A 14,744-nucleotide genomic window follows, 5' to 3' on the forward strand; every position below is an offset into this window, starting at 1 on the left:
AGGGCCCAGCTCTGAAGTCGGAGGACAGTCATGGTTCTAATGCTCTCACTCAAGTCCAGGCCAGAGGTGAGGAAGAAAACGAGGAAGGATGAAGGAATATTTCAGAAATGGAATTGGTGAGATTTGGTAAGAAGTGTTTATTTAATTATAGAAATTTGAATATCATTGTGTTTTGATGTTTAGCAGTTTTAAAAATCATGGACCACTCTAGTCCCCTGTAGTTTTCTTCCTCTCTCTCTCTACCTTCCCGCTAAAGAAATGGATATTGTGTTTCTCTAGGAGCATCATAAGGAACAGTAAGTGGCCTGTGCTGGTGGATGGGAGAGGAGGAGGAAGCAGCTGCCATCCTGTATTTTCTGAAAGGTAAGCGCGTTGAGCCTCAGCTCAAGCTGCCCACTCTCCCCTGCAGCCAACTATTTATACCTTGGGACTGTCTATTCTGAGAGTTGTAATTATGAATGGAGCTCATAATTTACGATCACCTCTGGTTACCACAGAGTTTGCTCCCAGTCTGTTTGGGAGCCCTCCTCTGGCCCAGCTCTCGGTGTGGGTACCTACGCAGTACCAGGCCTCTCTGCGAACTCCCTGTGCAGAGTCTGAACGCGGTCAAAACCCCGGGGGACTCCTCCACGGGTGGCCCCAACTGCTTGTAGCAGAGCCCAGGAGGCCTGTTACAAACAGGTATTTCTCCTCCTGACTCATCAGAATCTCTGGGCGGCCTCAACCATTTTTTTTTTTTTTTTTTTTTTTTTTTTTTTTTGAGATGGAGTCTCACTCTTTTGCCCAGGCTGGAGTGCAGTGGCACGATCTCAGCTCATTGCAAGCTCCGCCTCCTGGGTTCACGCCATTCTCCTGCCTCAGCCTCCCGACGCTGGGACTACAGATGCCCGCCACCACGCCTGGCAATTTTTTTTGTATTTTTAGTACAGACAGGGTTTCACCGTGTTAGCCAGGATGGTCTCAATCTCCTGACCTTGTGATCGGCCCGCCTTGGCCTCCCAAAGTGCTGGGATGGGGAGAGAAGTGTGAAACACACAGGCAAAGGGGTACGAGGTGGCCAGAAACCGAGTAGGAAGGAAACACCCCCGGGGTTCCCTATGAGCGCAGTGAGTTCCAGATGGTTACGCCGCTGGCCCATCTAGGAGGGACGTGAGATAAAATACCATAGAGTACTGTGAAATCGCCTCCAGAATTGGTCAGATCTGAAGAGATCATTTTACAGTGATTTCAGAGAGCTTTTTTTTTTTTTTTAAAAAAAAGACAAACTAAATCTCTATTCCCCAAAGAAGCTAAAGGCCACTCACCAATGCCACGCGGTGCCCACAGCTCTGCACCAGGATGCAGAGAGAGAGCAGAGGTGGCTGGAAGGAGGACATGGAGAGATCTCAGCGCTGCCGCCCTTAGATCAAAAGGCATCTTTCTTCAGAAAACATCACACAGGCCGAGAGAGGCGCTGGAGGGGCTGCTCCTGGGAAGTGGACCCCCCAAATGTCTTCGGATGCCTGGAGAGGCTGCTGGCATCCGCCTCAGGCATGAGTCACATCAGGTGGGGGCTCCTAGGTCCGAGTAGGAGGAAGGGACTTGACTTTGGCCCTCCTAGAACACCGGCCCAGGAGGAGTATTTCTGTTATACGCAGTCTCCACGAAAAAGCCAGGCAGCCTCTCCTTGGCCTGGAGAATGACCTCCCCAAGAGAAACCTGTTGCCTTCTGGTTCTTCAGAGCCAGGCTCTGCTGGGAGCACAAAGCTGGCTGCTCACGGCTGCTCACGGCTGCTCACGGCCCAGAGCTGCTGTGTCTACTTCTAGGTCTCAGGCACCTAATTCAGTGTCTGTCCAGCCCAGACTTCACAGATCCCAAGTGACCAACTTATTTCTCAGCTTTGTCCTCACTGTGGAAACCTGGGATTCATCTACTCTTTCTGAGGGACTTAAATGTTTAATGAAAATTATGAACTTGCTATATTTATTTTATAAACATTTCTTGAGAAAAAGGAGAGATTTCATGGTTTCTGTTTTGCAGATTTGAAGAAAAGGCAGCCAAGTTCACATTTTGCTGAAGTCACATCACTGATCACTGTCCAGCCATCCTAACCTATCCGCTGCTGAGCTGGCTGCCAGCAGATCTTTCCAGCAGCCCCGGGCAAGCACACACACATAAGAGAGAAGCCTGAGTTTTATGGTTTAGCATCCATGTCACCCATAAGAAATGCTTGTTCTGACTTTAGTCTCAGCACTAAGGAGGAAACAATCACTCAAATGCCAGGTTTCCCTTTGCACTGGAGGCCTGAGGAAGTCAATAAGAAAGAAAGTCAATAAGGTAGCCAATAAGAAAACCTGGGCACCATGGCAGGCACCTGTGGTCCTATGGCCCCAGCACTTGGGGAGGCCAAGGCAAGAGGGTTGCTTGAGGCCAGGAGTTTGAGGCTGCAGGGAGCTATGATTGTGCCACTGCACTCCAGTCTGGGCAATGTAGCAAGATCCCATCTCAAAAAAAAAAAAAGAAGAAATTTGGTTTCACCTGCTTCACTGAGGCGAGGAAGTGAAGAGGTGAGAAGGGGAGTGTTAAACAGCCAACCCTACTGAAAAGGAATTCCACATGTCAAAGAAAAACAAACGCTGCACCACTTTGACAAGTATTTCCAGTTATTTACTCAAGAAATCTTTTGATTGAACATTAGATGGCAGATGGCACATCACAAATAGTGATATAAGATCCTTTTTACCATCTGAAATGTTCTCAGACAGAACATATTTTATTCAACCAAATGAGGAAAATCTGCAAACACAAATTAATGTAAGTACAACCAGCTATCTCTGGCTTCAGTATTTGAAAATGGTGAAAGCATCTGTAGGGTCACTTTGGGTTCGGGGTCTGGAAAGGATGTTCCTAGACAGGGAAAGAGCAGGGAAGAGCTTTCCTTCCCTCCCCCTAATCTCCTAGGGGATGTTTCTGTCTGTGTTAGCTTCCCAGGGCTGCTGTGACAAAATACTATACACCACTTATTTTCTCACAGCTCTGGAGTCTGGAAGGCCCATCTCAAGGTGTCTGCAGGCCATGCTCCCTCGGGAGCCTTGGGAGGCTCCTCCCTGCCACGCTCAGCCTCTGGTGCCCCAGTGCTCCCTGGCTCATGGCTGCTCCGCTGGCTGCTGCCTTGTCTCTGTGTGTCTGTCTTCTGCTCTCTTGATAGGGACACCGGTTTTCTTGGGTTAAGGCCCACCCTAGTGACCTCATCTTAACCTGATGACATCAGCAAAGATCCTGATTCCGAAGGTCACATTCACAGGCGGGGGCGAGGGGGGGCGGGGTGAGGGCTTCAGAGAATCTTCTCGGAGACATAGTTAGAGCTGTAATGCGTCCCCCGAGCTATAATGCGTCCCCCGAGCTATAACGCGTCCCCCGAGCTATAACGCGTCCCCCAAGGTACCCGCTGCCTCTGTTTATTCCCGGCAGCCTCCACCACCGGCCCAGGGAGTTCAATTGTGTAGGAAAAGCAAGGGGTCTACCTTTACCCTGAGCTACGATCGGGGTCTTTTGAAAAAGGCTGCCCTTTAAGTGTAGCCCTGGACAGTGATAAAGAATGGCCACTGGACAATGTCAGTGGCCTCTGAGGGCAGGAGGGGCCTCTTGGGCCCCCTGGGCATCTTCAGTGACTCCCCTCATGTCCATCGCAGAGCCGGGGGAGACCTGGCTGGAACCACCCATTTCAGAGGCTCTGAGATCCCAGAGCCCACCCCTGATTTTGGCACCTTTCCAGCCCCTTCTTCCTGACTCTGTCTCCCCCTGGGTCATCACAGTCTCTAGTGTACCCCAGGCCAATCAGACCCAAATGCAGAACTCAGCCCCCTTCCCCTCTGCATCCAAACAGAAAGTCCCCTCAAACCTTCAGCGTGCCAGGTGAAGGGTCTTAGGGCCTGAGAGGTTTCCGGAAGCAGTTATGTCCAGAACTGTGAGCCCCTGCCTTCCCCAGGCCTCCCCGGCCTCCTTTCTTCTCCTTCTCTCTTCCAGGGCCTCTAACTCCACTCCCCCACCACAGCCCTGCCTCCCCCCTTTCCTCACACGGCATTTCCTCACCCTCAGAACCTCCGAGCCTCCTCTTCCCACCAAAGCGTGGACCAGGGCACTTGTTCCCTAAGCACAGTTCACATCCACAGTGAAATGTGGGGGTTCCACTGCCATCCGCTGAAAGATGACAGGCTCCGAGTTACACACAGAAATGAAAAGAGCACGTGTGGAGAAATGATGCCACCGGTATTCAAGTTATTCGGGACAATGTGGAACTATCGAACCTAAGTGAGCATGTCCCCAGGAGAAAGAATATGGGGAAATGGAAACACTCAGCAGAGAGCCCAGGCCTGTGAATACAAAGCGGGGAGGAGGGGAGAAAGGAATGAACTTCAAGTAGGTAAAAAGCTTAGTGAAAAACTGCAAATATTCACAGTTCCAAAGCATTCCCAATGAACTGTTTATTATTCCCATAAAACCTTATTTGTCTTAACCTCAAATATTTTCTAGTTCAACCTACATTCCACAGAAGACCAATAGCAAAATGGATGTGGCAGAACGAAGATCACCATGCTTTAGAAACAAAGAGAAAACTTAAGCTTATTTTTCCATTTTAAAATTTTGGGTGAATAGGAATAAACCAACAACTCGTAGGAGAGAAGTTCTTGAAAACCCCAAGCTGTTACAATAGGTGGGAGGTTTTAATTTTTGACGACTCAAAGCCCTTCGTCAGTCCCTCAGTGGTTGCAAGAGGCAGCTCGGACCCTCTGGGAGCCCTTCGAAAGCCTCAGACCCTGGGCCAGCAAGACACTTTCTAAACTACAATTCTCATGGGTTAAACTACATTTTCGTGAGTCATTCTATTTTTTTTTTCACTTTAGACTCCAGATAATCTCAGTGCCTTTATTCGTGTTTCTATCAATTTAAAAGGTAGCAACACAACTCCTAAAACTTGTCAATGCCGCCTGTGAAACACTGGGGCTGACCGTGCTGGGGGTTACCCACAGCACAGGGCCGGGGCCACAGCACCTGCTATGGAGGCCAGACGGGCACCCTCCTGCCACGGACAGAACTGCAAAATGGAGATTTGTCACTGTGAAGAATGATTGCAGTTTTTCACACTTCAAAGAAATGGGGTAAAAGTCGAGATGACCAAGTCATCCCACATGATCCAGCAGTCCCACTGCTAGGTATATACCCCCAACAGGAACAGTGTATCCAAGAGATCTCTGCACGCCCATGTTTATGGCAGCACTGTTCGCAGTAGTCAGGATGTGGACACAAACTAAACATCCTCCAACACATGAATGAATAAAGGAAATGTGGCACATATACACAATGGAGTACTATTCAGCCATCACCAGAATGCAATCCTGTCATTTGCAACAACACGGATGGAACGAGAGATAATTATGTTAAGTGAAATAAGCCAGGCACAGACAGACATCACATGTTCTCGCTTATCTGTGGAAGCTAAAAATTAAAACAATTGAACCCATGTAGATAAGAAATAGAAGGATGATTACCAGAGGCTGGGAAGGGTATGGGGAGGTGGGTGAGGCAGAGATGGTTAATGACGATGAAAAACAGTTAGAAAGAAAAAATAAGATTTCGTATTTAATTACATAACAGGGTGTAGTCAATAATAATTTAATTGTACAATTTGACATAACTAAAAGGGTATAATTGGATTGTTTGTAACACAAAGGATACATGCTTGAGCTAATGGGTACCCCATTTACTGTGATATGATTGTTACACATTGCATGCCCATATCAAAATATTTCATGTACCCATTAAATATATACACCTACTATGTACCCACAAAAATTAAAAATTAAAGAAGATGACAAAGCTAATAATGGTCTGATTCAAGGTCTAATTAAAATTGTTTTTTAGTAACAAATGTATGTCTGTAATAATTTTTTAATGAATTGGTAATCCTGTCAGAAATAGATAAATGTATTTCATATTTTGGTCTCCTGATTAGAATTTCAGTGGTTGCATGGCAGCTTTCGAAGTGGACAAAATGGTTCTACCAAGAAAGTTACAATGATCTTTTGTAGCTATGAATACTTTTGCAGAAAATTTAACCACAATTCAAAGCCAATGCAGTGTTTTTGAGTACCAGCTCTAGAGAGTTTTGAAGATTATTTCATATTCCAGGAGTATAAGAATGGGTTGTGTTTTTAAATTTTTGACTTACATTATAAAAGTACATGTATTTAGTCTTTTTTTCTCAAAGAATACAATGGAAATAATAAGATATGTGTCTTGATAGCTAGAAAAATTATTTTAGTGTGCAAAAGATGGTAGATAATAATGGTTTATTAAATTTGGATGTCATAGACACAAAATTTTCTAATTTGAAGATGAACATATGGTTGCAAAGATTATGTGTTTATTTAGTTGCCAGGTAAGCATTTTAAAGAAATTTCACCCCAACCCACTAACATCATTATTTCATTAGAAAGAATAAACGCCTGAAAGAAGCAAGGATACATTCCAAGTGTCCTTAATAATCTCTTACACTGGATAAGGTTTAAAGTTAGCACTTCTTCGCTTCATTTTGCCACAGACCAATTAAGGTCTGTGTATTTGTTCAGGTCAGTGAATTTGAATGTGGGACATTGATTGTGAACTCTGGCCCTGCCATTTATTAGCTAAAATGAACGAGGGCATGTTACTGAATGTAAAATGAGTTTCATTTTGCCTCATAGACTTGTTCTGAAAATTAGCTGAAGAAATGTGTGCCAATGTCATCAGCACATAGTAGGTCTTCAGAAGACGTCATTTCCCTCCACCTCACTCTTCTTTGTCGAGGGAGATATGTAGTCAAGGACGCTTAGGCGAATGCCGCAGAGCGATCCACTTCATCGTCATACTATTTTTTGTTGCCTCAAAAAACTCAGTGAGATTAAAACATTTTCTGAATGATAAAGTGCTCCTTTTATATTAGGAAATAAAATTAGAATTTTATATTTTAAAATTATCTAATTTCTCTCTTTTATTATAAAATATAATAATTTAAACTTTTTGAAGAAAAAATACTCTTGCTCTCGTTTTGTTACAAGGAATGTTTATACCGTGTTCTAGGAGCTTTTTATTTTATATACTCTGGTAACAATTACAATTTTCTCATCTTCCCATAGTCCTAAAGCCTCTTAGACTTTTCTCTGGCTTTTCATCCTGCCCTGAATCAAATGGTCTGCTTTTTCTCTCCAGTTGACTGCTTCATAAAGAAGTAGATACTGCTGTCTTATCTAGAACTTCAATTCTAATTTCATAGGTACTTTTTAAGTGGCTAAAACGGGTGATTTGAGTGCTTTTATTTAAATGGAATGATGTTTAATTAAGGTTTATGTCAATCTTAAGAAGACTCACAGAATGACAGTACAATAATATAATGAATTACTGAATTATAAATCTAAATAATCCACTCAAAGAAAGAATACTGTATGCTTTCTGGTTTCAGAATTAAATACATTACTTCACTTGAGCAGTGTGCTACCAGCCTAAGTGAAGTAATGTGTTTAATTCTGAAACTAGAAATTAAATCAGATTGACTGCAAATCAAACACTTTTCATTTTCTGCGAATAGAAACATTTTTAAATTCACCTGCAAAAAAATAATAAAACAAAACAAGATGATTTCCAGAAAACTGAATTTATATGTTGTTTCCTTACACAAAGAACATGAGTGATGTAAATTTAAATATCAACTTCGGTTTTTAAAAAGATTCAGAAAAGCTATTCTATTGGATTAGTCTCCTAGAGAAAGGCCCTCTGTAAAAAAAAAAAAAAAAAAAAGATGGAAATTACTCTGAGTAGTAACTCCCAAAACACTTCTCTAATGCCCTTATTAGAGTCAGGAAGATCTTGAGACACACCATCGTTGGTGGCATATTTAATCGGGCGAAAGAAGCCTACGGAAGCCTGTGCTTGGGGAGCCCAGAGCCAACACTGCCATGCACATCCTGGGGGACATTTCTGGAGCGAGCATCCACAGGGGATCTTCAGGCTGATGTTAAAGCTAAGGCTATGGTGCCATAAAGCAGCAAAAAGACAGGCAAGAAGATTGAGAATTAATTATGAGTAAACATCTTAATTTTGTCCACATTGGTTTTAATTTGTTTTCATAGCAATGACTGACTTGGTGGAAGCCATTAATTAATTTTCATCATTTGGACTTAGCTGTATTGGACAAGCTTCATAAAGCAAATAAACATACAACTCTATCATGGCCAGCAAATACTTTAGAGAAAGCATAAAATTGATTAAAGTTACATGTAGAGAGGATTAAGTCTGAATCTCCTGGTTCCTCCGTTTGTCTGCAGGAGTTTACAGCCCCTGCCTCCACTCTCAATATGCCCCGAGTGCCAGGCCCTAGGCCTACTGGAAGGAACCAAGCAACAACAAAAGACAGTGGAGAAGCTGATCTGGCTCCGAACTGTGTTAGTCTGTCTGCATTGCTATAAGGAAATACCTGAGGCTGGGTAAATTCTAAAGAAAAGAAATTTAATTGCCTCACAGTTCTGCAGGCTGTGTAGGAAGCATAGTGTTGGCATCTCTTCAAGAAGCTTCCAATTATGGTGGAAGGTGAACGGGAGCCCGCATATGGCATGGCAGGAACAGGAGCAAGCGAGGAGGGAGGTGCCAGGATTTTAAACAACCAGATCTCTGGTGAACTCACAGAGTGAGAACTCACCAATTACCTCAAGGACAAGATCAAGCCATTCATAAAGGATCTGCGCCATGACCCAAACCCCTCCCACTAGGGCCATCTCCAACACTGGGAATCACATTTCCACTTGACACTTGGAGGAGACACATGTCCAAACGATATCACTACCCAAAAGTAGGTGGAAGCTAATATGATTTTTAGCATTTGTATTGAGTTACATTATCACTTCAGAAAGGATTTTTTTAAAAATCTCGTTTGACTTTCATTTGGTTAAAACTTCTAAGTAGGGCTTCTCCTATCTCTCTTTCTCCTACTGCTTAGAATAGCAATTAAAACTCATAAGCGAAGTACTGTTTAACAGCTCCCTGCAGTAAATCTTTGAGTGAAGAATTAATCTTTTTTGTGATGCAAGAAATACTCTCTAACCTTCTTGTTTTATAAGCATTCTCAAAATAGCTTCATTTTAAACATAGATGGGAGGATGAGAGAAAGTAACCCTGTTTGGTTGAAGGAAGAAGCCTCGCATGTGCTGAGCAGCCCCTGCTGACAGCTTCAGTGGCAGCTTTAGATGGTTGGATGGTGTTGAAGTCCATGCAGTAATCACAACAAGATAAGCCTTCTCTAAAGTAGTCCTTGGCTGCTCTTGTCTCATAACACTTCATTGGTGAAGGGCTCTTAAAGTTGTTCTGTACACCTTTTGAGGCCCACTCCACCACCTGTGATCACGAACTCTATGTATTCACACCACGATTACTGTTGTGTATTCTCACTGTGCAATGCACTCTCCTACAACTTGTTCTTATTTCTTTATAATCAACATTGCGGGACCAAGATGCTCTCAAGTAATTCTCACAACCACATGGTCAGGGTAGAAGGGTTGGAATTATGATCACTAGTCTGCACAGGAGAAAACAGAAGTTCCAAGGGGTGTGCTGTGCTCAGGGCTCCCTGCTCTCTTCAGGGAGCAACACCCTGCAGCCCAGCGTTTCCAGCACAGAGCAGAGAGGGCTGGTGATGCCTCTCACACCCAGTCTCACAGGCCTGGACGCTTGCTGTTTTCACTTTGTGTTCATAAGAGAACATGTCTCAGATTTTGCTTGTATTACCTTCTCCTCAGATTGACAAAATTTTGTGCCTTTCCATGCCAGGAAGAAAGAAAAACAGATCACGCCAGTCTCCTTCCTTCCCAAACCCTCTGGATGCACCTACACTTCCTGGATGACCCTGTGTGTTGCTTTTTCATTACTTCTTATCTTCAGAAATTAGTGGGCAAGCCTGTGGCAAAACAAAACTTCAAATGCTTTTCTTTCTTCCCTCCCTCCCTCTCTTTTCCTTCTTCCTTTCTTTCTTTTCTTTCTCTTTCTTTCTTTCTTTTCTTTCTTTCTTTTTCTTTTCTTCTTTCTTTTCTTTTACTTTTTCTTTCTTTCTTTTTCTTTCTTTCTTTCTTTTTCTTTTTTCTTTCTTGCCTTCCTGCCTTCCTTTTCCTTTTATCTTCCTTCCTTTTTTCTTTCTTTATTCCCTTTCTTTCCTTCCTTTCTTCCTGCCTTCTGTCTTTCCTTTTCTCCCTCCTTTTTTGTTCATCACCTAACTATAGTTTATAATAACTATGTGTAAAATGAAGATTTTAAAATGTGAGAAACATGTACTTCTGGTGCTGCTTAAGTAAACACTCTGCAGTTTGTGTTAAAAATAAAATTATTCAGAGGTACTTCTTAAAGGGTGGTGAGGAGCCTTTTGTCAGGGCCATCACAATACATACACGGTCCTCTTCAATAGGGTTTGGCAGTGGGGGAGAGAGATTAGATTAAGCTCCATTTTGAATACAGCCTGGGTGAGCGGGGACTTACAGCTGCAGCTCAGGGCGGGGGTCCACAGATGGAAAATTACTACAAGAAAATACAAGGGCTCAGCGGATTCTGGCTAAACCGACCTAACAGGATTCTTACTGAAGACAGGCCGGGTGACCAGTTATCATTGGGGGAGGTGGAGGAGGAGGAAATGGATGGATGTGAGGGTGATCAGATGCCTGATCTGTGCATAGGTGGGGTTCTTGTTAAACTTACCGAGAGGGCTCTTGGTTGAAACTGGATTTTATAAGGAAGAGTACGGATGGGCTTGGAAGGGGTTTCAGGAACCTGACTCAAGTTTGGCCATGCCGAGAATCTCTGTCACCTCCTTCTCTACTAATTACAATAAAACCACCAATGAAACTCAAAAAGCAAGTAATCAAGGGTTCTGAAAAGTTAACAATAGCAGTTATTTTAAGAAGAGGAGTCAAAATTTGAAGAAGCCCTTTCTGTTTTATTTTCCTCTCTTATATTCCAGCTTTGGCCTGGAGTCAGCCATGATGAGGGAATTCACAGGCAGCAGAACTCCTGAGACACATCCATCGTCTGTCTAGAAAAATGGTCCCCTGAGACTGAGAGTGTGAGAGGTAATTTCCATTTCTTTTTAATACATTATTTCCCTCCTAGCCTGTTCTTGCGGTAGCTCAGGTCCCAGGGCTCACTGCAGCAGTGACAATGTGATAATTTAAAACCCCAAGAGAAAACGTATCTTTCTTGCCAGAGGCATTGAACTGGGTAAACATGAACTGGGTAAAGAGGACCCCATGGTCTGAGAGTATGAAGACCCCCTGATTTATTTTTCTTTATCTTGTCTCTGCTGAGGTGCAGTGACCATGACACAGGCACTTCAAGCCCTGAGTGAAAATCCATGGGAAGCCGCTGTGAGCTTGGAGGAATCTCGGGGTAGACTGCTTAAGAAGGGAACCCTCTAATGCTGTGTGTGAACTGACACACGCCCTAGGCGCATCTCCAAACCAGGCCTGTGCAGAGAAGACCCAATGCATCATTGAAAAGCACCAAACTGTGAACGCTGAGTCAGATGTAAACCATGGCCAAGTCCTAGACAACCCCTAGAGGCCAGTTCATGGGATTTTCCCAAACAGCAGAGGAAGGTGCCATGAGAGTGAAATTGGAATGCTGCCCATAAAAGCTGAAGCAGTGTTAATTCACTGGGTTGAGGGACTATTACAACAGTAACAACAACAAAATGCAACATTTTGCAGAAGAGAAAATGTATCTTCTTTGGCAGGACACAGAATTTTGTAATAAAACTTTTAAAATATCCAGAATACAATCCAAAATTATTTGACATACAAAGAACCAGGAAATTGTAAATACTCAAAATAAAAAAACAATTAACAGATAACAGCCTTAAGATATCCTAGATATTGGAATTATCAAGCAAAATCTTTAAGGCAACTGTTATAAACATATTCCTTGAGTTCAAGGTAAACACTCTTGAAATAAATAAAAAATGAAGTTCTCATTAGGGAATGAGAAACTATGAAAAAATAACCAAAGGAAAACTTTAGAACTAAAAAATACAATTGCTGAAATAAAAAATGCATTGGGTGGGCTCACTAATAGAATGTTGATGACAGAGAAGAGTTGGGGGACTTGAATGTAAATGCTAAAAAAAAAATCCAATTTTAATAAAAGAAAGAAAATGTAATGAATAGAATGTAAAATATAATATCCCTAGCCATAGGTATCTATGGGATAATATTAAGAAGTGTAATTTCCTGCCATTACTGTGCTAGAAGTGGAGAAGAAAGACTTTGAGTCTTGTGGAAAAAGAACCATTTGAAGGAATTATGATTAAAATCTTCCCAAATATGAGTCAAGACAAAAATTTGCAGATTCAAAAAGTTCAGTGAATGACAAACAGAATAAATTCAAAGAAATACAGCCTAGACACCATAGTTAAATTGTTGAAAAATCAACATAAAGAACAAAATTTAAAAAGAAAAATAGGATTTTTTACTATGCCCAAGTGAACAACATTGTTCTCATAAAAATAGTAAAAACAAATCCGTCTGTTATTGTTTCCTTTTACATAAGGCATTTAAATCAACAAATAAAGTGGAGGAAAGGGCATTTTGCTTCTGAAAAAGGATGTGCAAAACATGAAGGAAAATACAAATTAGTGGGTAAACTATCTAAATATTTGGAACCTCAAACAAATATTTGGTTTGATTTTGAGGCAAATAAATGACTTGGTTGCTTCTTTTTAAATTCCCTCTGGCTCATAATATGTGGTGATGACCAAGTGGAAAGGCTGTAAGGTGGCTGGTTAAATATAAGAAGGCTGGCTGGAGAAATCATGTACTATACTTTTGAAAGCCAGGGAGCCTTGGAAGCTTATTTTAAAACTATCATAACATCAATTTTTTAATTATCTATTTTATTTGCTAATAATGATATTTCTCAATTGAGATTATCCTGTTAGCACCCTGGTATGAAATTAAAGCAATATTTAACCAGCTTGGGAAATTTTTATATAATACTTGGAATTTGAGTGATCTACTCAACCCAGTCGCCTTATATTATCCAGTTGTCCCAGACACAAAGAACTTCATTTCTTCATGTATCACAGATAGTGATGGCGAAATTCCAGATGACTTAGAAGTGTGTTCCAGTATATATCTGAAATCTGGACAAATCCCCTAGGTATCTAGAATAAGGCTGGCTCTAAATTCGATGAAGTGAAGTTCCTTCTCTTGATTGAAGGCATTTTATTAGCACATATTTTTTATGTCTTTTTAAAACTCTAGTTTTCAAATTCCTAAAAGAAAGCATTCTAAAGATAAAATTTGAATAGAACTTTAAAAACATATTAGGGGAAAGCCTTTAATTAGTGACATATGGGTGAAATGGAGTTTCTATAACCATTTATAATGGATTCCATTTAAAATCTTGATGTTGAACTACAGATCGAACATCTGATTCACAGGTACTTTCACCACCTTACGTCATGTTTTAGAAGGGCATGGAATTCTAACATATTTAAATCCACCCCCCCACCACCAAAAAAAGAAGCAGCAGCAGCAAGTTATAATCAGGGTTTACTATCACCTGAAGAAGAAAGGACAGATTCATTTATGATCTACAAAATATAGGTTGAGAAAAATAAGAAAACTGTATTTGTTATCAAAATGCAGTGTCTATATATCCTAATTACATCTACTTGAAAAGTATTTGTTCATAGCTATAGAGAGGGTGAGGGGATTTGATTATTTTATAATCACTTTTGGTATGGTTTTTAATGGGTTTTAGTAAGAAAAATCTAAATGGTGACAATCAAAACAGTTAAGTATTTTTAATAATTTTTCCTTTTTAGTTCTTACTAATGAGAACATCTGAATAAGGACTTAGTGATTGCCTCTGAAATGAACAGGAAAAAACAAGAATTTCATGTTTATTACTTTGGTGAAGGCAAGAATTACTAGTAAATATGGTCTTGGATGTGGCTGAAGTTCATGCTACTGTGGAGAAGAGAGAAATGACACAGTATTTGCTCAATGTTTTGAATCATGCTGCTAGAAACAAACACTGCATTTTGAAAATGTATATGCATCCATTATATTAGTTTTGGAAACTGTGATATTTATGCCAGTTAGTTAATAGAGAAAGCTCACTTTACTTTCTTCTTTTTCCACAGCCCAGAACCAATATATGTACAATTACCTACCTTCCTGTTCCACTCATGCAAACTAACAGAATATGAAGCAAGGAATCAGTGACTCTCTCTATTCATAAGGAGTTTCCTAATTCTGTGTAAATAAATTTCAAATATTTCAGTCATGCTTGTCATTTGTACAAAGTTTTAAAATTCTGGAACTCATCTGAGCTTGTAATCATTGCTGGTAGGGCTCAAGCTTTTAGTCTCCAAGGGCCTTTCACTTGTGACTTGAACAGTGAATCCAAAAGTAAAAGCTCGGCATAGGGTGAATGTCGTGCAGGTCACAGAGTGGACCCCACAGCCCAGATGAAGGTTCTCTCAGCACCAAGAAGGGGGACGAAGGGAGGGCTCAGGCCAGCAGGAGCCTGGGCAGCGGCCTGACCTCTGCCTGCATTCTTGTCCACCCACTCTAGACAGTTGAGTTCTGGTTCTGAGGAGTGGGTGACAGAACCCGTCCAAGTTAGGACCAAAAGACTGAGCACTGAGAGTTCTCTCCCCAGGTGAAGCAGCAGCAGGAAGCCTGCCTTA

At 41.7% G+C, this 14,744-nt stretch overlaps 1 long non-coding RNA gene across 1 annotated transcript; it reads left to right on the plus strand.

Moving 5' to 3' along the window:
- Positions 1-14,328, plus strand: LOC107986550 (uncharacterized). The gene is made up of 4 exons (XR_001743905.2): positions 1-126; positions 280-363; positions 11,013-11,121; positions 14,196-14,328. It is a non-coding gene; the product is annotated as an uncharacterized LOC107986550 (long non-coding RNA).
- Positions 14,329-14,744: the final 416 nt, after the last annotated feature.

This window comes from Homo sapiens, chromosome 6, assembly GCF_000001405.40.
Source record: "Homo sapiens chromosome 6, GRCh38.p14 Primary Assembly".
Taxonomy (NCBI): domain Eukaryota; kingdom Metazoa; phylum Chordata; class Mammalia; order Primates; family Hominidae; genus Homo; species Homo sapiens.